Source organism: Homo sapiens, chromosome 14, assembly GCF_000001405.40.
Source record: "Homo sapiens chromosome 14, GRCh38.p14 Primary Assembly".
NCBI classification, from domain to species: domain Eukaryota; kingdom Metazoa; phylum Chordata; class Mammalia; order Primates; family Hominidae; genus Homo; species Homo sapiens.
The window spans coordinates 43,308,645-43,336,610 of NC_000014.9; the positions used below are offsets into that span (position 1 = coordinate 43,308,645).

Genomic DNA, 27,966 nt, shown 5'->3' on the forward strand with positions numbered 1-27,966 from the left:
CTTGAGGTGTTACCAGATCTACTGAGAGAAGGACGCAGTAATTCACACTGAAAGACAGTAGACCTGTACTATCTCAAAAATCGGCATAACAAGAAGAGTTTTATTTATTATTTTTAAATGAAAGTCTACCTTGTCACTGCTTTAAAAAAATATTGACAAATTTAAAGTTGATTTTTATATTGGGAGTTCTGGTTTAAGGTAAGTATATTAAGTGCACATATTTGTGCTGTTAGTTACATAAGGCAGTGTTAGCCAAGAATGGACAATTGGGTCTCAGGTATTGCTTTTGTGCCTGGAGCTAGTAAATGATAAAATGCAGCACTGTGATGTCAATGGTAAAGAATTTCAACACTTCATTACATTTAAAATCATACATCAATACATATTTTGCTGAAAAGAAATTGGGAACACATTTTGCTGGGAATATTTTCATAACAGTGATGAGATTTTCTACCTTTCCATTGAGAAATGTGTCAGTCACTACTTTGATAAACTAAAGTCATGTAAACCGTATTCAGGGAAAACACTATACTTGACTATTTTATTTTAAAAATAAGTTTGTATTTGTTGGTGTAATTGTGCTTATGTCAAGTCAAGCACCTAAAATCTTTCCATATTAACTCTTACTAGAATTTGCTCTAGTATTCACTAATTTGATACTATGTCTGTATGAAGTGAGCAGTTCAACCAAATGTACATAAAAATAAATTAAGTTTGGATTTACTTTAAATAACATGGTTTGTTTCCCAGTATGGCTTTTTCTTATGATTTGTTACATTTAGATTATGTTTTATTTCTTTCAATGTATGATGTGTAGAGTCTTTTCTTTTTTAGTGAATACATTTGATGTTAACCAATAAGCCATTACACTAGTGATCTCTTTCCTATTCTTTTATTTGTATGTAGATAAATACGCCTTGTCTCACATGAATCCTTTAACATTTTGGTACCACTATAAACCATAATCAAATTCCCAATCTAAATATAATGTAAGTGAATATTGTTCTATATATCTTTCCATTATGCTGTTGAAATAGCCTGCTTTGGGCTTTAGTTTTGAGGATTTGGTGTTGGACATAATTACCCATGTCAACAAGAAGTGCAATATTTGAATAATTTGTTTTGTGATTTAAGAACAAACTGCCATATGTCAACTGTACTAAAATCTGGGAATTGTGGAGTACAGTTATAAGTGGTCTTGAATTTTTAAAAATAAGGTGATAGCTTGGGGGAGAATTTTAAAGTAGTGGAAGAAAATATAACCTGTAAGCACTTCTGAACTTTATAGTGAGCAAGACAATTTAGGGAGATCTTAAACAGTAATCAGATTCATGAAAACTATGACTGGAGAAAAATATGCAGAGGTAGTATATTTTGATGTGAAAATATTGGAAGGGAGGTCAAAATTATAGTGTTATCAATTTATTCCTGAATTTATATAATAAAGTCATATCTTTTCTCTTGCTTCCCTGTTTCTCTTAGTTTCTATTTATCTTGCCCAGCAAATTGTTACAAATTAATCTTTCTGAAATATCAATTTTATTAGTTTTATTTGACATTCCTATAGCTCCAAGCTGCCCTAATATGTCCTTATTGTGATTAAATTGTGCATGAAGTAGAAAAAAATGTAATACATTGATCTAGGATTTGTAGATATTTTATGTTAGTGTTATAGTATTGCAACCTATAAGTCATATATTACAGTTGTTTCATTAGACATATAGCTTTAGCAATTTTATAAAACCATTGCCTTATTTTGTTTGTACTCTACCTAAATATTTTATCTAATAACTTTTCCAAAAAATCAACTAATTTCAAATCAATTTATGTTATTAAAACAATGAACAAAATAGAGACTATCAAAAAGGCAAAGTATGTTCTAAGTATTTAGTTTTTAATTTATGTGTACTAGTTTAATTGACAGACCTGTACATAAAATATCGCTCAGGTACTACTTTAGGGAAACATTCTGGGTATTATATTAATAACAAAGTATAAATCTGAGTAGAATTTTCAGAACGCAGGTTTATAACAGCTAGAATATACTTTAATCTATCTTTTTAAAAAACAACACATATTTCTCAACCGATCAAAAAACAAGTATCTTTTTTTTTTTTTTTTTTTTTTGAGACGCAGTTTCACTCTGTCGCCCAGGCTGGAGTACAGTGGCATGATCTCGGCTCACTGCAAGCTCCGCCTTCCGGGTTCACGCCATTCTCCTGCCTCAGCCTCCCGAGTAGCTGGGACTACAGGCGCCCGCCACCACGCCTGACTAATTTTTTTTTGTATTTTTAGTAGTGACGGGGTTTCACCGTCTTAGCCAGGATGGTCTCGATCTCCTGACCTCATGATACGCCCGCCTCGGCCTCCCAAAGTGCTGGGATTACAGGCGTGAGCCACTGTGCCCGGCCAAACAAATATCTTAATTGTTACTGTTATTGTACATAAATCTCAATAAATCAACTGTAATTATACTTTTTGATCACCTAAGTTTGGGGACACTGAGCTGAATTAAGCATAATTCCAAACACTGTAAATTAATTGTTTCATATTTTCTCCACAATCTTCCTCTGACATTGCCATCTGCTGTCACTAGAGAGTGTGCTTAAAATAAAACAAAATTACCCAGGAAAAACCTAACAGCCCTGGAGGAGAGAGCTGAACAAACAACACAGGTATATGTAGTTAAGCTATCATGTACAGGAAAATCAATTGAAAAGAATGTTGCATTACAAATCCACAATGCAGGAGAACTTAAGTGAACAAAAGTAATGTTTAAGGAGCATATAGGTTTTAGATAAGAACAGAGAAATGAGGATTATCACTGGGGTGCAGAGCTTGAGATAATCATAAAAATATGGTAACCTTATATTGAGGTCTAGTTGTCCCAAGTTTTCTTGAATCAAATTTTAGGGAGAAAATCTACCCAGTACTTAACATTGGTAAATGGTATTTTTAATGCAATATGCAAAATAGTAGTATGAAAGGATAATACATCTTGGGACCCCAAAATCACTAAACCAGAGAAAAGTCAAGCTGGGAACTGCATCAGGCAATCATTCCTCCCATTTTATTAAGGAAATTTCTTGTGAGCCTCAAGACTTTTACTCTAAAAATAATTTTGCTGAATTTCACCCTGGCAAAGTAAATTGATAGCTTATCTTCACAGGTGTAGGACAGAAAGTCATCCCTCTGCTCACCTGAGACAAATGCATATCTAATTGCTTTCTCAGCCCTATAGTTTATGTAAAAATGCAGATTCACTGACCCAGATTAAGGCATCAATGACTATTCCTTTACCCCCCACCCGAAGTCACATGTAAATTGTGTATTCATTGAAAGGCTAATCAAATAGCCAAAAGAATGCAATCATTTGTCTCTTATATACCCATTCCCTGGAAGCCCCACTTTGAGTTGTCCTGCCTTTCTTGACTGAACCAATATACACCTTACACATATTATTTAATGTCTCATGTCTCCCGAAAATGTATAAAGCCAAGCTGTGCCCCATCCACCTTGGGCAGATGTTCTCAGAATCTCCTGATGGCTATGTCATGGGCCATGGGCCAGTCATATTTGGCTCAGAATAAATCTCTTCGAATATTTTACAGTTTGACTCTTTTCATCAACAGTAGAGACATTTTGTCCAAAATGATACAGTCTAAGGGCACTTAAAAAGTAAGCAGTGTTAAATAGAGCTTAGCCTAAAGCTGTATCATTACATATTTTAAGTTCAGACTAAAGGTTTCTTTGTACATTGTGAACTAAAAGCTAAATGGAGTTCCAAACACACCGTAGATTAATTTTGTACCAATCACTGAACATTGACCAATCAAAGGTGACCAACAATTCAAACCGTATTCAAATAAGTCAAATGCCAAGCTGTAATCAATCTAGCTGTTTCTATACCTCACTTCCATTTTCTGTACACCACTTTCCTTTTCTGTCTATAAATATTTTTCTACCACATGGCTGTGCTGGAGTCTCTGAGCCTACTCTGGCTCAGGGGGTTTCCAGATTTATGAATATTGCTTTGCTCAATTAAACTTTTTAAAATTTAATTCAGCTAAAGTTTTTCTTTTAACAGATGGTGTCAGAATTGGGATCCAAAGTAGAGCTTCTAATGATCCCCATGAGCACTGAGTGACCATCCGAGGTACCTGCCAGTCTTACTGTGTCCTTTGGTCTCTTGGAGCAGCTGGGGACTATGGTAAGTTCTCTCTCAGATTCTGAAGCTGAATTGATTGTGTTTTGAGTTCTCTGAGTTTCTTTGAGCAAAATTCTCATCCAAACTGGGTTTGGAAGTCATAACAGAAACTGGACTGGGTCCAGGATCAGATTAGACCTGATAATTAACTGGCTTGGATCCAGTTAGAAGCCTCTTATGTCTCACTGGATTAGAAAGAAACTGGTAGTAAATGGCAATGTTGCAGGGGGTGTAAAATTTGTCTTTTGGAAATTTGTAGGAATTTTTGTGTTCTATCCACTTTGTTTCATTTTTCTTGCACACTTGGGTAGGGAAAAGTTGATCTTTGGCTAATTGATCATTGGAAAACATTTGTGGTAAAAATAGGATCCTTAATTTCTAAAGAACTGAGTTCCTTTCAGCTTATACATGCATAGGTATTAGGCCCTGGAAACAGCAAGGTCTCATAGAGATGACAAAATCTTACTAAAGATTAGTTACAGTGGAACATTCCAAATGAACAGTACTGCACTAAAGAAATGCATTTGAAAATGAGGGCTCCCAAATTAGTCTCATGTAAGAATGACTACTGATATGCAGAAACTTCTAAAAATATACCAGTATTTTCAAGCAAAGACTTTATAAAAGGCAAATAAAAAGCTAAAGAGACTAATTGATAAGAAAAATTAAACCTGCTAAACTTTTGGCTTATTACTATCCCACCACAAAGGTGGAAAGAAAGCTATCCTAAGTGATAATAAAATGTAGTCCCTCAGGTAAAGAAGGCTTGACTTTTTTTCAGATCTATCCATGCTGAGTCCAGGCATAGAAAATGCTTTCTTGGCCCTAGTCCTTAGTGGACTCCACCCTGAACTCAGTAATTTTAGATAAAAAACAGTAGCTAAGTTTAAAGGAACACCCTGTTAAACTAAAATACACCTTTCTGAAATTTAATTTGTTATCTTGAAACACTTTTGTAAAAGAAATTTACATCTATAAAGGAAATCTCCATTTTTAAGGATGTCTGCCTATGTATATTAGAAACTTGTAAAATTCTTTTAGATTTACATAATAAGTCATACCTTTGTTTAAGGCGCTTATCTGGCCATCTTAAGTGACATTTTGTTTGAGTCATTTTTTCCTTTGGTTTGTGCAAATGATAATAAAATATTTAGGCCTAAAATCTTAGCTCTATGCTTATGAAATTACATATATATGTATTTGTTTCACCTAAGAGTTGTCCCTTTAGAAATGCAAATTGTTGCCTAGTTAACAATACCTTAAGGCAAAGAAACAGGTAATTAGAAGACTGATAGACCAAATGGGGTGTAAGAGTGGGAATTATTTAAAAGCCACCAAATGAAAATCCTTTATGAAAGCTTCTGCGTGTTTGTATGTCTATATGAGTTATGTGTGTGTGTCTATATGTGTTATGCTATATGTTGTGTTTCTATATGTTGTGTGTCTATACGTGATAATATTTAGTAAATAAAGCTAGTTTTTAAAATGTTGGTAAAATAAAAATGGCTTCAAAATTATCAGTTAAATACAGATACTTGCTTCATTTGACTGTGAGCTTATGTCTTTGGTTTAGAGTCTCCGGATTCCGGGATCTAAATGGGTAGTCATGATGAGGTATGAAGACATTTTCTATACCATTTTCTACGCCTATACCAGCCAGAATCAAGTCCAACATGGCTGCTTCCTCCTCTGCTTTTCCTGTTTGCCTCCTGGCTATTTTGGGATGGGTTGGATTCTCCAGATATAGTCTTCATGGCTCTGTTCTCTGTCCTTATGGATTCAGAAAGGCCTTGAATTTCATAATCCTCTTGGGTCCCCTGTGGCTACCTAAGACCTAGAATGCCTAGGGGAAGACATTAGAAAGGCTACCTGTGTCAATTTCAAAATTATTTTCAGTAATTTAAAATTTTAGAGTCATGTTATGTAAAATTAAGTAATAGATAATTATAAAATGTCTGAGTCATCTGTAAGTTGATATTGAAATGTAGATATTAAACATGAGTTTAAGTCTATATACCTTCACATGTTATTTTTACATGATATAGAAAAGCTAAATAGATCTGTCAATAAACAATAATTTGAAGAACTATTTTTCTTAAAAAATATAAAATGGTTTTTATCTACAAATACTGATATAAAACAGTTCAAAATTACTTTCTAGGTTTTTCACTAAAAAATAGAGATAATAAAAGTTAAAAACTACTAGATATGAGACAATTCTGTATACAGAGTGTATAAACAAAACCAAGATATGTGTTCAATGGGGAAAGTTATAAAGGCATAAAAATGTGTGTTTAAAATGTTGTCTGGTTTAAAGTTACTTAAAAGTTTCAAGTTGAAAGAGTAATAAAATAGATACAACACAATAAACAAAGAAAGTTGGGGAAAAATGTAAAACAAAAGGTTTATGGAAATCTTGTGTGGTTAAAAGATGACAGATTTGGTACATTTATTTATAAGGTTTTATTAAAATTAATTTTAGTTTTGATAATACACTAATACAAAAAGAAAACTTGGTTTTCTCTTTTGAACAAAATTTTTTTGTAGTTTTAATAACACATGGTAAAGTATTTTCATTCACCTTTTGAGTAAACTGCCAAAAGAGTGAAAAAGACAGAGGAAAGAAGAGACAGATTCTGTCTCATGCTGTCTTAGGTCTTTTGTTTGGAAAACTGGGTCTTTTTTTATCAGAGTACAGGTTTTGGCCTTTAAAAATCTTTTAAAATTATCACTTTGGTTAAATGAACAACTATTGTTTTATGGTGACCAGTGATCCTATTTTGTTCAAGTGTTTTAAACCTTTAATGTATTTGATAGGCTTCCCAAAATCATATTTCAGCATCAAAATTAAGTCTTCTTTGGCCTCTAACTTTGAGATGCTAAAGAGGGCCACTGAAGCCCTCTGTAGGGAGGTAAGCAGGATTATTTGACATGTTAAGTTACATGGGAAGCATTGTCAAGGAATAATGTTTAACCTTCTTCAGGTTATATTTAATGAATGTCATTAATATATGTTCCAAAATTGTATGGGATTTCTAAAATTCTAATATGTCTGAGTATGCACTATAAATCACACTTATGGTTATAATGTTGTTATTGTAGACCACAGAAATAAAGAAATTTTTTTATCAACTGTGTCTTTAAAATGCTTGTTTAAAGTCATTTCCACAGTTAATTGCTTAATTTTGATGCAATTTCTGAAAACTTCACAAGCATACAAAATTTTAGAATATAGAGTCTTTAAGGAGTTCATGAAAGAATGAAAACAACCCTGAAAAACACTCTTGAATGCAGGTTTCTAATAACTTTAGAATCATATCATTTGGATTGGGTTAAGAATTCCTAGTACTTTAATGACGAGACTGACTGGTTTATAAAACTGCTAACTCAAGTAGAATCAAATTAATTGAATACCGAGAAAATGCTTTGGCAAATTTTCATGCTGAATCAGCCAGTATTGAAATTGTGTAGATATACAATCTGAATGAACTCCATGGTCTAAGTCAGATTACTTATGATAACCCATCAGTTATCAGTGTTACACCCCTAAACCGGAAAAACAACTGGTATTCAAGAGGACTAAGTACAATGTTAAGCATGGACTCATGGAGGACCAGGATGGCTGCCTTGTCCTTCCTGAGTCCTTAAAGCTTTTGTTATTAAAAGTTCTGCATTTCATGACTCATCATGGAATAAGTAAAATGATCCAAATTAAATATATATATATAAATATATATATATAGTGACTTATAAATGGCTAAAATAGTTTACATAGTTTATGACCAACGTTTGGTTTGTCAAACTCATATTCCTGGGAAGACAATCAAAATTTCATGTGCATTCTGCTACCTGATGGGCCATTTAAACAATTATAGAGGGGTTTCATTCCATTGTCATTTTTAATGCATGTCTTCCGGTTGTATTAGAGCTTTCTCATGCAAGAAGACTGATGTTATAATAGCAGCTCACTATTCCACAGTGTATTTTCACCAGGTAAAGAGAGCTTTTCATGGTTTACTGTCTGAGGACAATTGTCCCCTTCACAATCTAGAACGCAAAGACTGAATCTTTGGAGAACATCAGAGAATCACTGCCCTTGCTATTCACACTGCAGCAAAACTTCGGGAACTTGAACCTTGGATTCATAATCTCACAACTGAGAAGGGTCCCTCCACACTCTTGGAACTGTACACCCACTGGAAAACCTTAAGGTAAAGCTAGCCAGGGAAGTTTCTCCCCAAAAGAAGGTGGCATCCTTGAAGTGAATAGCTTTTTCCCAAGATCAAGAAATCAAGACTTCTCTACTATCATGAGACTCTTTATCTTTCTTTTTTTTCCCCTTTTTTATTCATCTATGAACAATAGAAGTGGAAAGGGTGCTGTTGGGTGCACTCATGGCATATATATATATATTTTTTGTGAAGGAGTTTGCAGCCAGCATTATGCATGGATAACTTTATACCTTGACAGATGGAAGATGAAGGCCCAATGTAGGTGAAAAGCTTTAATAGTACATATGTTGCCTGATAATTAGTGAGAAACAGAACATTGTTCCACTTGTCTTAACCTATATCATGGGTTAAGGAGAACATTGTCAGGAGGTCTTCACTATTCTAGAAGGGCATCATTTGTTAGGTTTTCTTTTTTTTTTCCCCCATGGTTAGGAGTAAATGAGGCAATGATTGAAAATTTACCACTGATGATAGGCTTTAAAGCAGATTTTACTCTAAAGGTTATGGTTACACAACAGACTTTAAATTATCTTGTGAAAGTTATGCTAAATAATAGAATTGCTCTATTGTTCTAGATTACTTACTGGCTAAACAGAAGTATCTGTGCAGCTGGTGGCACTTGTTGCCCATGGAGAACTACATCATAGTGCATATTATAGAGATTCAGTTGTACGGGATTATTGAAGAGACTGTTTAATTAAAGTGAGTAGATTCTTTAGCTTATTCTTTGATCTATTTGATTTTAGTTGGTTTGGTTTATGGGGACCCACCATAAGGAGCATACCCCAAGCTCTTGGTATTATCCTCCTGATAGTCATAATAATAATCTTCTTGGCGCACTATATTCCCTCAAAAGTATTAAATGTTTGCATACAGACATCTCTAGAAGGTCAAATGGTCTCTCTTTAATGGGAATGACAAGAGCTGAAAAAGATGTGTGATCATGAGGGCACTGTAACCTATGAATGACATGCTGAGATGAGAAATCCAAAATGATGGTAACTGAGAGTGGTGCTAAGGCCCTAAGTTTGAATCACACTCTCACATAAGTGAGAACCTAACCAAAAGGGGAAAATTTTTAAACAAAATAGTGGGAGCCCATTGTTTTGGACTAAGCACATGCACTAGACCCCAACAGACCAGACCAAACCAAAATGGAGTCATTCATGCTAAATGTGACAAAATCAAACTGAAACTTTAAGGAAACATGTAGATCCTAGAACAAACTAGGTTTTGTTTTCTCCTGTGAACAGTCCATTCCAGCATAATCAGCTACCCTTTACTGTAACCCTTACAAAAAAATAACCTGAAGTCCTTGTTCCCCTTACCAAACCCACTGATCTGTTTGCTATTTCTCAGTGGGTTTCAAGATTGAATAAGTGCATTTACAATGGCGAGAGTGACATTACTGATTAAAATTTTGGTCAATCTCTCATAGTTGAAAAAATTGACCAAAGGGGGGGAATTATTAAATCAAGTATAGCCTAAAGCTGCCTCCTTACATATTTTAAGTTCAGCCTAAATGTTTCTCTTTGCATCGTGAACTATAACCTAAATGGAGTTATAAGCACACTGCAGCCTACTCTTGTGCTAATCACTGAGTTTTGTCCAATCAAAGGTGGCCAACTGTTCAAACTGTGTTAAAATAAGGCAGACATCAAGCTGTAACCAATCCAGCTGTTTCTGTTCCTCATTTCCATTTTCTGTATGTCACTTTCCTTGTTCTGTCCATATATCTTCCACCATGTGGCTGTGCTGAAGTCTCTAAGTCTAATCTGGCTTGTGAGGCTGCCCGATTCACAAAATTTTCTTTGCTCCACTTAACCCTTTTAAATTTAATTTAGCTAGTGTTTTCCTTTAATAGGAGAAAAACATGATGACATGAAAATATATCCCTAAAAGTGTTGGAACCTACATAAATATATCAGGAGAACCTTACAGATTCATGAACTAGTGACAAGGGAATAATTCCTATAAAATAATAGAACTCTGATTTTCAATGTGTATACTTGTAAAACAATTTTAACTATCCCTTAGATATGATACATCTACTTCCTTCCTTAAATTCCTAAGGTCTACATGTTAAGTATAACACTAAATTTGAACATATATTTGCATAACAGATTAAAAGATTTCATGTAATATTGTCATGCCTTTTTTAATACTTAAATGATGAAGTTCAATGTTCAGCATGTTAAACTTTCTAATTCTGGTAAAACTAAATTAATATTCCTCTTCCTATACTTTATCATTTAGGGTTAGAAACAATTTCATGGGCAATTTCACCATACCTTACTGCACCCTAAATAACCCCATACCTTCAGATGAAACTAATAAGGAGCCAGTGAAGCTTCAATGCAGATTACGATATAACTTATTGTCTACTTAGAATTTCATCTTGCAATTTTTTCATCAGAAGAAACTAAAAAAAAGCTATTCTGGACAAAGCAATTTCACTTTTGCTAAATATTCCAGAAATATGAGACTTAGAGCTTTATGGTAATTTATAGAATTTGAAAAGAATATTTAAAACAGCTTTTAAATTGATAGTGACTTTTAAGGAAAATTTAGTTTTCAATTTGCATTTTGATTGCAGGTTTTATAGGAAAAGAAAACACATAACTCCAACGACTCTAAACTTCTGGGAGGTCAGTCCCCAGGCATGGTTCAATTACCAGAGCCATCTCCATATGGAGAAAAGGAGCAGCTCAGTTAGTGTTTAATTCTTGTTAATTCTTGCCCTTCCTTTGAGAGTGTCATGGCTACAACTTCGACAAGAAGTTCTACAAACTTCTTCATTGATGAGAGTAACCTCATCAATTAAAAAAAAAACAGACAAAAATGTCTATTTCCAGCTATTAAAAAAATGGTAAAGTGTAGCATGGAAAGAAAATGAGGAAACAAAACAAAATAAAACAAAATTTAATATATTTTTTGAAAAGCTTTAGACTTCTGAAAAAAATTATACTTCTTTTTAATAAACATTGGGTTCTTTATTATGAAGTCTTATATATCACAGATTTTTATAGTGCATGACTGCTCTGAAAATAAGAAAGGCACTTTTATGCTTTCTGCTATATTCCATCTTTTTTCTTCTTCAAAGGTGAAAATATAGTAAGGTTTATATTATTTTTCCTATCATAAAACCTGAACCAGAAGAAATCTAATGGAATGTGAAGTTTTATAACAGGGGTAAGATTTTTAGATTGTCTTTCATCGAATGAAAAAATTCGCTATCTAACAGTATAATCCCATTGGTTTCCTAGCCTAGTATTTAAATATTATGCTATTCATGGGTAGTTATTACTTCTTAGAGAATGTATATCATAATTATGATTTTGCCTGAATTTTATAACTAGAATAAAGATTTTTTTTGCTTTTTGTCTGTTTTATCTTTTACTTTTACCTCTTCATTATTTTACAGTTATGCAATTATTTAGAAAGTCTAACAATACAAAGAAATGAAATCAAAATGGCATGCATAATTATTATTTGATAAATGTTGACACATATCTACATTATTACTATAAATATCAATATGCATTACAGTAATATAAGTAGTAGCCATTATATGTAAACATTTTATTTAAATGCTGAATCTTCCTGTTAAAAATACCAAGTAATGATCTTCAAGAGTATGGTTTTTAAAAACTTTTGTCAACATATGCTTTCTACTAAAATCAGTAGTAATGAATTATTAAATGTATAGAAAGATAATTTTGTGCTTTTAATTTTATTTGGTTCAAAATTTATCTAATATAAAATTATTTCTGCCCTCCTTATTATTCAAGCATTTGAATAGAAAGAAATAGATACATTGATTGTGACCCCTCAATATTGAGTTGGTTCTCTTCCTTATTATGTTGATAACTACTAAAAAATTCTCAGGGTTTTTAGATACCAAATATAATAAAAAGTAGAATGAAACACCTACTGCTTTTTTTTTTCCCCAAACTACTGTCATGATCATTAAAACTGTGTTTACACAATTGCACACACAAATATATGTGTAGATCGACAGATAAATAGATAGATAGATATATGTAGTAGATTTTTTAATTTTTTTTTTTTTGAGGTAACGTCTTAATCTGTACCCAGGCTGGAGTGCAGTGGCACAATCACAGCTTACTGCAGCCTTTACTTCCCAGGCTCAAGCAAACATCCCACCTCAGCCTTTCGAGTAGCTGAGACCACAGGTGCACAACACTATGCCTGGCTAACTTTTAGTTTTTTGTTTTTTTTTTATAGAGACAAAATATTTTCTATGTTGCTCAAACTCCTGGTCTCCAGGGATCCTCCTGCAACTCCCTTATGGAGAAAAAGAAACCTTTATTTACCATTAGTTGGGATGTAAATTGCTATAACTATTATGATGGAGAGTCTTAAAATTAAAAAAAAAAAAACTAGAACTATCATATGATTCAGCAATTCCATTTCTCCGTATTAACCCAAAGGAAATAAAATCAGTACATCAAAGAAATACCTATACTCCCATGTTCATTGTGGTGTGATTTACAATAGCCAAAACATAGAAGCAATCTAAATGTTCACCAATGGATGAATGGATGAAGAAATTGTGGTATTTACATACAATGGAATACTATTGAACCTTACAAGAAGAAGACAATCTTGCCATTTGTGACAATGTGGATGAACCTGGATGACCTTATACTAAGTGAAATAAGCTAAATCCAGTAGAACAACCACATGATGCCATTTATATGTGCAATATAAAATAGTCAAACTCATAGAAGCAGAGAGGGAAATGTTACTTGCCAGGATCTCGTGAAAGACAGAAATGGAGGGATTAGTCACAGGGTATGAGATTTTGGTTGTACAAGATGAATTAAGTCCTAGAGATCTACTGTATACCATAAAGCCTATAGTTAATAATATTATTTTATATTCTTAAAATTTACTAAGAGGGTATATCTTATGTTAGGTGCTCCTATCATAAACCAAAAAGTATCTGATGCAGCTCTCAATCAATTTCGATGTTTTTCTGCCAAGGTTAAAGACCATGGCCTGTGACACAGCCTCAGTAGATCCTGAGAACATGTGCTCAAGTTGGTTTGGTTACAGCTTGATTCTATACATTTTAGAGAGACAGAACTTATGCACAAAGACATAAAATCAACACATGTATGGTGTATTATTTGTCTGGCAGGGGTGGGCTTCCAGGTCATAGGTGAATATTGGCAATTGGTTGAAAGACTTTATCTCTGCCTGAAGTGTTGAAATCAGCTTGAGTTAAGGTAAGGGGGAGGATGTCCAATTAGTTGTTCACTGGCTTAGTATTTTCTTTGTGGTTTACAGTATCATAAATCAATAATAATGATAATAAATTTAATAAATAGGGTCGGAGAAAACTTTTGAAAGTGATAGGTTTACGGCATAGATTGTGGTGGTGGTTTCATAGGTATATACTTATCACCCAATTAATCATTTTGTATACATTAAATATGTACAACTTTTTAAAAAATCATTAATACCTCAACAAAATAGTCTCAAATAAAAGGCTACAAACTGTACGTTTATATTTATGTGGCCTCTTGAAAGTCAAAACTATGGAGGCAAAAAACAAAAAGAGTTTTTAGGAGCTGCAACTGGATGAGGAGGTGTTGACTACAGTGAGATATAGAGAATTTCTGGGGATAATGCAGTAGTTCCTATCTCGATTATGGTGACTGTTACACAAATGTGTGAAGTTGTCAGAACTCATAATATTTTAGTAAAAGATGTACATTTAAGGTCAATAAAAATACTAGTTTGCATACACAATCAAAATTAATCTGCTCATGGTGTTGTCTCCTGGGATCTTTCACTCAGGCATAAATATAAATAAATACTTATATAGGGAAAGGTACCATATATAGAAAAGTTACTATAGAAAAACAGATACGGGTACTGAAGGCTCAGCTGTATGCCAAATATTGCCTTTATGCTCCTTACATATTGTATTATTAAAACAGAACTGTAGCTATTTTCCTGGTAAGAAACTGACATCTTAAATAGGTTAAAGTAACTTTATACCGTCAAGGGTTAGACAGTGGCAAGACAGAGACTGATTCCAGCCTTACTGACAGCCTGGTTTTTATCTCCTTTACATAGCACATTTTCAGAAAATATCTTGCATGTTGTACCTGATAGTTGAAAGACAGAATGAAATGATCTTTTAATTTGGGAGGACTCCATTAAAATTGTGTTCATAAATAAACTGTTAGAACAAGGCCTCAAATAAATTTTTGAAATTGTCTTAATATGAAAAACAGAAGAGAGAATAATTAACATCATGGATTAAGTATGTACTTATATTTTGTGTGTAAAAAAATAAGATTTTGCAGTGTGATCAATGTTGGCTTTTAATGGAATTCACACAATATTTCCAACGGTTCACTAATGCAAAGCACGTGCAAAGATTTTGCACTTATCAGTTAGATTAGGGTAATAATAATATGTCAAGTTGATACGCTCTTGAATAATGAGGGTGAAGTAGAGAGGATAGAGCAAATCAAATTGCAAGAATAACGGAAGCACATATATTCAAATGAAACACTGGCAGACACTATAAGTGGATCAATAATTTAAATTTCCAAATTTTATTTTTAACATATCAGAAGCTATTTTTTTCTGAAAGATCAGGATTTGTTATTCATTGTTTGTAAACATATGCTTACAGTATAATTAAAAGCATGCAAGATTGGCCATGAGAAGTCAAGGTTATCATTACAAATTACTATTATTAAATGAAGTTTATGACGTTGGAATGTAAGTTTTACATATCTTCATTTTCATTAGTAACTACTGTTAAGTTTTATTTAGTATTAAATAGATACTAAAATAAAATTTATACACATGCCTGGAGATAAATGAAATACATTTATTTTCATGACTAATATTTTATAATGTTTATATCTTCCTTTACTAAACATTAAAGAAATCATCTACATTGACATTTTCTCAGCCTATCATACATATGATAAAAAATAAAAAACGTGGCTGGGCGTGGTGGCTCACGCCTGTAATCCCTGCACTTTGGGAGGCCGAGGCAGGTGGATGACGAGGTCAGGAGATCGAGATCATCCTGGCTAACATGGTGAAACGCCATCTCTACTAAAAATACAAAAAAATTAGCTGGGCATGGTGGTAGGTGCCTGTAGTCCCAGCTACTCAGGAGGCTGAGGCAGGAGAATGGCATGAACCCTGCAGGCAGAGTTTGCAGTAAGCCAAGATTGTGCCACTGCACTCCAGCCTGGGCAACAGAGCGAGACTCCATCTCAAAAAATAAACTAAAATAAAAAATAAAAATAAAAAACATTTGTCAAATAAATAAATACTGTAGGGTAGCAAAGTGACCTAAGCTATTACAGTCTTGAACAACTTTGTATTTTTCCTAAAAATTATAGCAACAGAAAATTTTGAAGACATTAATAATTAGCTACTTTCCTCTAAATGTTTTCCTAATTATAGTAAAAATGAGTCTCAGAGTATTCTGACATTATCATACATTTAATTAACTAAATTTACTAGCAGGCAAGCACAATACTTCATGCAGCCTCTTCACTAACCTCAAGCAAATGCCAGCTCCTTGTCCATTCAGGTGATATACTACCACTTATGTAAATGGTTACTCCACACCAACCCAATTTCCCAAGGCAGACTTTGGCTACTCTTCCTAACAAGAATCAGACATCTAACAGGTGTGAAGTGAAGCTTACTGTGATTTTTATTTACATTTCCCTCATGATTAATGATGTTGAGCACCATTTCATATACTAGTTGCCATTTTTATATCTTTTTGGAAAAGTGTCTATTAATGCCCTTTGCTGATATTGTGATTAGATTATTTGTTTTTTGTCTTGTTTTTGTTTTGCCACTGAGTTGTGTGAGTTCTTTATGTACTTTGAATATTAACTGCCTTTTCATTTGATTGTTTCCTTTACTGTGCAGAAGCTTTTTTATTTGATGCAATCCAATTTGTCTATTTTAAATTTTGTTTCCTGAGCTTTTTGTGTAATATCGAAAATATAATTACAAAGACCAATATTAAGGATCTTTTCTACTATGTTTGCTTCTGGTAGTTTTCCAGTTTCAAGTCTTATGTTTGGGTCTTTAATCCATTTTGACTTCAATTATATATATAAGGGTTTAGTTTTATTCTTTTGCATGCATATATGCAGGTTTCCCATCATCTGAAAAGGCTATCCTTTCCCCATTCTGTCTTCTTGGTACCCTTGTGGAAACTTAGGTCTGTACACACTTGAGTTTATTTCTTGGCTCTCTATTCTGCTCCATTTGTGCATTTGTCTATTTGTCTCTCTATTTCTTGGCTCTCTATTGTGTTCCATTTGTGTATGTGGCTATTTTTATGTAAGTACCATATTGTTTTAATTACTATAGCCTATAGCATTGCAATATAATTTGAGATCAGTAATTGTGATACTCCAATTTTGTATTTTCTTTTTCAAGATTGTTTTGGCTATTAGGGGTCCTTTTGTAGTTTCATACAAATATTAGAAGATTTTTCTATTTATGTGAAGAGTACCATTAGAATTTTGATAGGAGTTTTATTGAATCTGTGTATCACTGGGTAATAGAAACATTTTGACAATATTAAATCTTTTAATTTATGAATATGGGATACATTTCCATTTTCTTTTGCAATCTTCAATGTCCTTCATCAATGTTTTATAGTTTTCAGTGAACAGATCATTCAATTACTTGGTTAAATTTACCTCTAAGAATTTTGTTTCTTTTCCATACCTTTTAAGATAGCAGCAAAAGACAACAAATGTTGGTGAGGGTGTGGCGAAAAAGGAACAGTGTACACTGGTGGATGTAAATTGGTACAGTGATTATAAAAACAGTATGGTGAGTCCTTGAAAAATTAAAAATAGAATTATAATATGACCCCAAATTCTCACTTTTGGGCATGTACCCAGCCATAAAATAAAATCAATATATTAAACAGATACCTGCACTCTCATGTTCACTATAGCAGTATTCACAATGGCAAAGGTATGAAAACAACCTAGGTGTTCAGTGTTCATCTCAGGAGAATAGCTAAAGAAATTGTGGTGCATACATGCATGCACACAGACACACACACATAATGAAATATTTATCCTTGAAAAAGAGATAACTTCTATTTGTGACAACATGGATGAACCTGGAACACATTATGCTAAGTGAAGTAATTCAGAAATAGAAAGAAAAACACATATAAGTGATCTCACTTGTTTTTGAGAATGTAAATAAGTCAAAAACATGGAATCAGAGAGTAGAACTGTGGTTACGAGGGCATCTAGGGTGGGAGAGGGGGAGAAAATGGGGAAATGTAGGTCAAAGTGAGAGGTGACAGTGTGCTGGCAGCCCTCGCTCACTCTCAGCGCCTCCTCAGCCTGGCACCCACTCTAGCTGCACTTGAGGAGCCCTTCAGCCCGCCACTGCTCTGAGGGAGCCCCTCTCTGGGCTGGCCGAGGCCAGAGCTGGCTCCCTCTGCTTGTGGGGAGGTGTGGAGGGAGAGGCGCAGGCGGGAACCGGGGCTGTGCACTGCTCTCATGGGCCAGCGTGAGTCCTGGGTGGGCGTGGGCTCCGCGGGCCCCACACTTGGAGTGGCCGGCCGCCGCCACCGGCCCTGGGCAGTGAGGGGCTTAGCACCTGGGCCAGCAGCTGCAGAGGGTGCGCTGGGTCTCCCAGCAGTGCCAGCCTGCCAGCACTGTGCTTGAATTCTCGCTGGGCCTCAGCTGCCTCCCCATGGGACAGGGCTCCGGACCTGCAGCCCACCATGCCCGAGCCTCCCCACCACCATGGGCTCCTGCACGTCCCAAGCCTCCCCAAGGAGCACCACCCCCTGCTCCACGGCGCCCTGTCCCATCGATCGCCCAAGGGCTGAGGAGTGCAGGTGCATGGTGCAGGACTGGCGAGCAGCTCCACCTGCGGCCCCTGTGCAGGATCCACTAGGTGAAGCCAGCTGGGCTCCTGAGTCTAGTGGGGACTTGGAGAACCTTTATGTCTAGCTAAGGGATTGTAGATGCACCAATGAGCACTCTATGTCTAGCTCAAGGTTTGTAAATTCACCAACCAGCACTCTGTATCTGGCTAATCTGGTGGGGACTTGGAGAACCTTTATGTCTAGCTAAGGGATTATAAATACACCAATCAGCACTCTATGTCTAGCTCAAGGTTTGTAAACACACCAATCAGCACTCTGTATCTAGCTAATCTAGTGGGAACTTGGAGAACTTTTGTGTCTAGCTCAGAGATTATAAACACACCAATCAGCACCCTGTCAAAACAGACCTATCAGCTCTCTGTAAAACAGACCAATCAGTTCTCTGTAAAATGAACCAATCAGCAGGATGTGGGTGGGGCCAGATAAGGGAATAAAAGCAGGCTGCCCTAGCTAGCAGTGGCAACCTGCTCAGGTCTCCTTCCATAATGTGGAAGCATTGTTCTTTCACTCTTTGCAATAAATCTTGCTGCTGCTCACCCTTTGGGTCCACACTGCCTTTATGAGCTGCAACACTCACTGAGAAGGTCTGCAGCTTCACTCCTGAGGCCAGCGAGACCACAAACCCACCAGGAGGAATGAACAACTCCGGACAGCAGGAACGAACAACTCCAGACTCGCCGCCTTAAGAGCTGTAACACCCACCGCGAAGGTCTGCAGCTTCACTCCTGAAGCCAGCGAGACCACGAGCCCACCAGAAGGAAGAAACTCTGAACACGTCCAGACATCAGAAGGAACAAACCCCAGACACATCACCTTTAAGAACTCTAACAGTCACTGCGAGGTTTCGCAGCTTCATTCTTGAAGTCAGTGAGACCAAGAACCCACCAAATTCCGGACACAAAAGGATGAAAACTTGCAGTTGTGTAGGACAAATAAGTCTAGAGATCAAATGTACATTTTGAAGACTACAGTTAATAATACTGTAATTTATTCTAAACATTTTCCAAGGAAGTAGATTTGAGGTGCTCTTACCACACGAAAAAGGTAACTAGGAAGGTGATGAATACGTTAATTTGCTTAATTGTAGTAATCATTTTATTACACATATATGTATATAACAGCATGACATATGCATTAAATAAACACAGTTTTAAAAGAAAAAAAATTAGTCAATCCCCAGGATCAAGGCTGGCACAGGACCTCTTAGAGGATTAGCCTAAGCCATTGTCTATAAAGGTAGTATCTATAGGTCTTGCTGTTGTATAATCTATTCAGCCAAGGGCAGTGAAAATCTCTAAAATAATTTACCCAATCTGCATTTTTTATTGACTTTATCAGTAAGAACCCATTTTTAATACAGAAAACACCTATTAATCTGTTACTATTTGTACCAATAAAACCCATTTCTCATACTTACCATGTTGATTAAGAAAGTGCTGAACAAGGTAGTCAAAATCCCTTTTTAATCACACCTTGTGCAATATGAAGTATCTGATGGGAAAGTGTATTCTTTGGAATACTTACTGCTCTTTGCTTATAGCTTAACCTAAGGAACATGCAATATCATAATCTATGCTGACGTGTTTTCAAGAAAATCACAGACGTCATAATATGGCGGGAAAATTAATATTAACCTAACATTAATCATATTTTGTTTTGTTCTTATTAACTCTTTTGTAACTTTAGGTCTGTTCTTTTTATAGGCAATGGCTATTCTTATTCTACATAAAATTAGAAAATCTTCTTGTCTTAAAAAAACGTTTGAACAACAAGCTATACTTACTTAAATGGACATGATAATATATCCAGACTATATATTGCATTACTTAAAAATTTCCTGATTTCTTCAAAGTATTTTTTTAAATTTAAAAACCATGAAAGTAAATCAATTTACCATGAAATTATACTAAAAGATTTTTGAATATGCATGATATATGCTCCAAACTATGTTTTATCTAATGAGCTGTTGATTATTAATTTAAGACTTATCTAAGATAATCACTGGCATTTTAAGCTTTTGCAGTTTTTTGCAACTTAGAGAAAATATTAGAAATGGAAGCAGCTATTTTCAGTATTTTATAGCAAATGATAAAAGAATCAGAGAAATGAATAGTTTCTTATAATAGAAATTTTATGCTAGTGTAGCTTTACTGAAGGAATCACACTGCAGGAGGAAAGTAAAAAAAAATGTACACCTAATAAATAACATTTTCTCTTATAGGTTTGTGTAATTAGATCAACCACCACAAGGGAAAAATAACTTGGCAAAAGTTATTCAATTCTTGATAATAGAAGAACAGCCAGAGGTGTAGTAAATTGCCCTAGATATATGTGCCCCAGTATTATTTCTTAGTAATTTCTAATTAGTTCTAAGTAATTCTCCAGTAGAAGCCTTAAAGAAAAGCACATATTCAAGTACCAGATGTGACATAGCATCATCAATGGCTGATTCATTATAAAAGTCATCTCTCTAGACTTTAGTTTCACCCTTCGCTTGAAATATGGAACATTGATCAAAGTAACTCAGAAAGTCCTCACTTTTTATGCACCCCTTCTCTTCTAAACACAAATAAATGATTAACAAAATACACAAAAATAAAAAGACAGACATGGGCACAATATAACATGAACAATCCCAGATAATATGCGGAATCAGAACACCTCACATTGATTAGAGCTGAAGCCATGTCTGCTTTGCTGTCATTCTAGAAGCAAAGGCATGCAGGAATTTAATGAGAATGAGGAATAAAACCTCATCTCACTATTTGAAAACAAGTGGTGGGGAGTGAGATGAAAAAAAAGTTCCCATTTCTGAAAGAGGACCAAAAACCAAGCAGATATCGCAAAGCCCCATACTCCCGCAGGCCTGGGGTGGGGCTGAAGGACCGTGTCCTGCAGTGCTACATTAGAACCTGAGGCAAAAGGAAAATGTGTGCCCATATGTGCACTTAGCAAAACGTTGTCCTATATTTTGGACCAGATGAAAAAGTGAATTAATATCTAACAATTAAAAAACATTATTAGGCCGGGTGTGGTGGCTCACGCCTGCAATCCCAGCACTTTAGGAGGGTGAGGCGGGTAGATCATGAGGTCAGGAGTTCGAGACCAACCTGGCCAATATGGTGAAACCCCGTCACTACTAAAAAATACAAAAAATTAGCCAGGTGTGGTGGTGCGTGCCTGTAGTCCCAGCTACTCAGGAGGCTGAGGCAGGAGAATCGCTTGAACCCGGGAGGCAGAGGTTGCAGCGAGCCAAGATTGCACCACTGCACTCCAGCCTGCGCGACAGAGCAAGACGCCGTCTCAAAAAAAAAGAAAAAGAAAAAGAAAACATTATTACATATAAAGTCCCTTGTTGCTCAATCCATTCTCTAGTCACCGTCAGCCCTTATAAATTTAGAATTATGAGACTAATGGACAGACTGTTCCAATGCGCAATAATTGCAGGTACTAAAACAAGTAAACAATACCCTGCCATTATTTACAATTTTTATATTTTCTTCATAAATATTTTGCATTAACTTTAAGTTTTGCAATGCTGCATTAAATATTTTTCTGGAGTACTGAGTTTTTGGCACTTTCTTAAATTTTAGATTCAAGGAGCATGCCTCAAAGTCTTCTACTAGTCCTAATATTAGCGCATTAGCGGAACATAGACGCATTTCAACCAGTAATGGTTGAGGTAGAGAAATCTTCAATCAGTTCTGAGACAGGAGCTCAGAAATGACCTTTCCATGACCTTATGGATCTCCACAGTGCAACTACAGGCAGATCAAGTTTAGTATTATAGTTGCATGGCTTCTGAGAACTAGGGTACTTCTAGTTTTTCAATCTCTTGGACTAGTATATGGCTCTGATTATCATTATACAAAACAGTTTTCTAGATATCACATCAATGTTCCAAGTAGCAGAATAAGAAAAGGAAGAAGAGGCATTTGCCGTTCTTCTTCCATTAAAGATACAATCCTCATATCCCACTGGGTAGAGTATATAGGTAAGATCACAACTACCTACAGGCTATGTGGCCACATGTAGTCTACATTCCAGCTGACCATATGCCCAACCACAATGTAGGAATTGTATTGCTGTATAAAAGACATACTAGATCTGTAGAGCAATCATTAATCTCTGCCACAAATTTTGAGCAAGTAATTAATAAAAATGTTAAAAATTGAGTTATATAAATATAAAATATTGTGTAAGAAACACTAAAAAATATTAGATGATACTAAAAAGATAGAAGATTAAATTTTCAACATAAACTAAGTATCTGTGAGATAAAGAGGCTAACATATTATTTAAAAAAATAGAGGATTTAAGCGGAAAAATACATGGATTTATTTTATGAACATATAGAAAACTATGTATCTTTTACATAGAGGATATGTATTACTTCTAAGGTATCAAGTAATTTTCACAAAAAATGACCACTTTCTAACTTAAAATGAATATATGGGTCATTTTCAGTTGGATGTTTAATATTAGAACAATTAAAAATAAACACTACTGTGTATGCTCACAAATCAGGAAGTTCATGCCTGAAGAAAGGCATGCATAATATGCAAATTTCAATTAAAACAAGAAACTTTTGTAGTTAAGATAAACAGCTTTCTTGTCCCCTCTCCAAGAAGATGCCCAAGTCCTAATGCTTGAAGCTTTGTGAATTTATTAATTTATATGCAATGCAGAATTAAGTTTGCAGGTGGAATTTTTTCCAAACAATTGAAAATACAGAGATTATCCTGAATTATCTATGTGGCCTCAATGCCGTCATAACAGGTAAAAGTGGAAGAGAGGCACAAGAGAAGTGAGAATCAGTGAAAGACAGGTAAAAATGAAAGGAAGTCAGAAAGATGTTTGTCTGGTTTTGAAATGGAAAAAGGAGCCAAAAGCCAATGGATGTGGACAGCTTCTCAAAACCAAAGAAAGCAATGAAATAGAATCTCCCCTACAGCCTCCAGAAAGAAACATAGCTTTGTAGATTCTTTGCTCTCAACTTGGTGAGAAAGCTGTTGGGTTTCTGACCTCCAGATCTGTGAGATAATAAATGTGTATTATTTAAGCCACCAAGTTTGTGTAACTTGTAAGTGAAGAAAATGGAAAATTAATAAACTTTTGAAATGACTTTAAATCAGTTTGTCATATATCAATATTATTAATGATACCAAAGCAGTACTTAGGTAAAAATGATTAAATGTGGTTTAAAAAAGAGTTAAAAGGTAGAGATTAAATGCATTACATTTATCAACACAAAAATTAGATAAACTATGATTTGAAGAAGGCAGCATTTCCTTTTCCTCTATTGGAAATTACATAAAGATGACAAGAAAGCTGAGAAATTGAAACGCAACTTGCATTTTTAGAAAAATTATGACACAGCTAAACAACCCCTGAAAAACACATTAAAAATTAGGTAAAACTGCAGCCCGATGCAATGGGGCTCAAATATTAGTAATTGCTCTAAGAACTTGAAAAGACTAGGGCAATTAGTCTCAGAAGTCGCGAGAAAATAGGCTCCTTGATTTGGCCATGCCTCCAGTAAATCTCTTTTATTTAGTAATGAAAAAGCATAGCATATAGTGAGCATGGCTTCTCTGGAACCAGTTTTCTTCCCAGAAATGGCAAATAAAGGAATCATACAAGCAGGTCATATATTCAGGATGAAGCCATCTCTACATCAGGAGGGAATGAAGAGTTGTTATCCTCTAGAACAAGTGAGAACTAGGAATAAACAAATTTACCCTCAAAACCAAGGAGCAAAAGAAAAAAATTATAAGTAACTAGCATCTGGAACTAAGCGTTTTCCAACATGAAACTCCTACAAACAGATAACCTAAAAAATGAAAGACAGTGCAAAGATACTACAAGGAAAATAAACATCTTTTTAATTAGACAACAAAGCAGTTATTAGAAATGTTTTGTTACATCTTGGTGAAATGCAAATAAAATAATATACTGAATGCAGTAATCACCTCTATGAATCAATAGAACAAAATAGAAATATAAGAACTTAAGAAAAAATAGTAAAATGACAGAGACAGAAAAAACAATGTGACAGAATGAGCTCAGGACAAATTGAATTTCATTCTGTCAACAAATATGTTATTTATTATAAAACTTTTGAGAAGCTAATGTATGATAGGCACTATTTGAGAAATGTGTTATATTAGGAAACAAAACAGACAAATACCCCTATTGTCATGGACTTTATATGATGGAAGGAAGGTGGACTGGATAGAAAAGTAAACATGCTAATCACATAAATTGTTATTGTATTTATATATTATATTATATAAGAATATCCAAAGTAAAATGGAAGAGTCAGTATATCAGGATAAGGATGAGGAGCTGGCAGTGTGATTGAAGTATCATTAAGGCAAGATTTGCATGCAGATGTCAAGAGAATTAGTGAATTTGCCAAGCAAATAACCACAAGAAAAGCATCCTGGCAATGAAACCAGCTAAAACAAAAATCCTAAGGCAAGCATGTATCTCTGAGCTCTTGAGAGGCCCCAAGCTTCATACAGGAATCAATATCTCTTCTAGCAGTTTCACAACAGCTTCCAGGTTACCAAAAAAGGAGCATGCTCAACTACAAGATTTACCAAGCTCAGGAAAATCCAAAGCTATGGCTTTACCCAGGTTTTTATGGTGTGATTCTTTTTTAATAGTATCTCCAGTCCAGAAGTGGCTTAGTAATCAGTGTTGTTATTGTTGTTTTATTTTTCCTGCTAAAACCAATGTTGCCTGAGAACACAGCTGACATTCTACCTTTATCAGATTGCTAGCAACTAGAAGGCAAATTCAAGGTTTATGTGTTTTTCCTGATAGTGTGTATGTTTTATCACTTTAAATTATTGACCTATAATTATACGTATTTATGGAGTACAGTGTTGCAATGCATGTGTACATTATACAATAATTAAATCAGGGTAATTACCATATCCATCCTTTAAATATGTGTTCAAAATGGATGGAAGAAGAGAAAAGTTTGTTGTTTTTCTCTTTACTCATGCCTACTATTCATAGTAACTTTGTATCTATAGTTGTGTTAAAATGTCCTCTAGAGGGAATACTTAAAATGCATAGACCACAGAATTCCAGAATTTAAATAAGATGTCAAACCAAAACACAATATTTGCTTGGGAATTACCTTTTACTCTCTGGCATACAGGTGTCTCACTGAAACATCAACTTCATTTTCTTCAGGACCTATCAAGAAAAGTGGAATCAAGTGAACTTTTACTAGACCACCATCATGTTTTATTGAATATTCAGATTAGAAAGGTCCTTTTAGACTAAATTTCGATATAGCTTATCAGCGTTTGTAGCATTTTAAAGAAGAGTTGTGATGATGTACTCTGAAACAGATTACTCATGAGGCTAATGTAGTTTAAATTTCAGGACCTCTAATTTGGAAAGCTCCCTACCTAGCCCTACCTGAGAGACAAACTGTGTGTGTTTGTCAGCCTGGCGCAGTGGCTCACACCTATAATCCCAACACTTGGGGAGGCCGAGGTGGGCGGATCACGAGGTCAGGAGATCAAGACCATCCTGGCTAAGAGGGTGAAACCCCGTCTCTACTAAAAACACAAAAATTAGCCGAGCATGGTGGCGGGCACTTGTAATCCCAGCTACTCGGGAGTCTGAGGCAGGAGAATGGCATGAACCTGGGAGGCGGAGCTTGGAGTGAGCCGAGATTGCGCCACTGCACTCCAGCCTGGGCAAAACAGTGAGACTCCGTCTCAAAAAACAAACAAACAAACAAACAAAAACAGGCTGGGCCTGGTGGCTCACGCCTGTAATCCGAGCACTTTGAGAGGCCAAGGCGTGCGGATCACAAGGTTAGGAGATCAAGACCATCCTGGCTAACACGGTGAAACCCCGTCTCTATTAAAAATACAAAAAGATTACCCGGGCCTGGTGGCAGGCGCCTGTAGTCCCAGCTACTCAGGAGGCTGAGGCAGGAGAATGGCATGAACCTGGGAGGCAGAGGCTTGCAGTGAGCGAAGATCGCACCACTGCACTCCAGCCTGGGCGACAGAGTGAGACTCCATCTCAAAAATAAAATAAAATAAAATAACATGTCCCCTAGTTTATACACGCTTCAGTTTCTAAAATATTAATCCATCAATCTCATTCTTACTTTATTTGGGTACAGATCTATAAGGCAACTTCATGAACAATAAATAAAATACCATGAGTTGTGTTGATTGGCTGCAATAAAGAATACATCCAGAATAGAAGCTTCAGCTAAACATCACTTGATTAAATGAATTATAATCCACTGTTATTTCCCAAGTTATATCACTATTCTACACAGTGTAAAAGTAAACTAAGTGGAGATCTTCTAGGGATCAAGTAACGTACATAGCATAAGATCTTTTCTTGCACAGTAGCCCTTATTTCATAAATCAGAAAGCTAATATGAACAATATACCAACTACTAAGTGAAGTGTTAAAATTCTGTATTCATGAACAGAGAAACTAATGAAAGGATGAATCTGAGTTCCTATGAACCAACTGTGTGGCAATCGTGAATGAAGACTCAATCATTACATGCTAACTCTTTACCCTGACCCATGAAACATAATGTGTCCCCAGGAATTTGCATTCACTTGGATCTATGGCAAACAAACCCTGAAATTTCTAACAATTATCATGGTGTACATTTGACAGGTATCTTTGGGAAAGGCAAAAATAAGTATGTATAATATGCACTTATGATATGATTATTGAATCTTTTGTTTTTGTCAGTCTCCTAGATGCTACTTCATAAAGAAGACCTGTGATTGTGAACTGGGTGAGTTCATTTCTAAGAAGTGGGTGAGATGCTTTATTTCCAGTTCATTTCTAAGAACTGAGTGAGATGCTTAAAGTTTCCATCATATTGATTTAAGATTGCACTGTGCTTGTCATATCTGTAATTTTTGTTTTATTTTGTATGTCTTTTTTATTGTGTTTATTTTTATTTATTTAATTTATTTATTTATTTATTTATTTTTTAGTTTTTTGAGACGAAGTCTGGCTCTGTGCCCAGGCTGGAGTGCAGTGGCACGATCTTGGCTCACTGCAACCTTTGCCTCCCAGATTCCAGCGATTATTCTGCCTCAGCTTCCCAAGTAGCTGGGACTACAGGCGGTGCCACCACGCCCGGCTAATTTTTGTATTTTTAGTGGAGATGGGGTTTCACCATGTTAGGCAGGACGGTCTTGATCTCCTGACCTATGATCTGCCCTCCTCAGCCTCTTAAATTGCTGGGATTACAGGCATGAGCCACTGTGCCTGGTCATTTTGTATAACTCTTTACCCTTTTACAATCCAACTTGGATTTTAGTGATTCTTCAGTACCAGGAACTGCATAGTCAGTTAATCATTTTCACATTTAAGGGAAGTTTGGCTGCTGTGGACCCTGTGGTTACATCATCCCAAACGAAATTAAGGGAGTCCATTTAAATAGTAGAATCTGATAGCAACATCTCTGACTTTAAGAGAAACATCACCAGAATATATTTCAACAATGGTTTCATTCTCATCAAAAATGCAGTTCCTGATGCTTTCATGATGCTTAT

The 27,966-nt window shown here is 35.3% G+C and overlaps 2 long non-coding RNA genes across 2 annotated transcripts; both read left to right on the forward strand.

Annotated features, from left to right (window-relative positions):
• Positions 1-8,342, forward strand: LOC105370470 (uncharacterized). Its single transcript, XR_943798.4, has 4 exons — positions 1-198; positions 4,088-4,210; positions 5,781-5,821; positions 8,259-8,342. It is a non-coding gene; the product is annotated as an uncharacterized LOC105370470 (long non-coding RNA).
• Positions 8,342-27,221, forward strand: LOC124903307 (uncharacterized). Its single transcript, XR_007064136.1, has 3 exons — positions 8,342-8,418; positions 9,015-9,141; positions 27,152-27,221. It is a non-coding gene; the product is annotated as an uncharacterized LOC124903307 (long non-coding RNA).
• Positions 27,222-27,966: the final 745 nt, after the last annotated feature.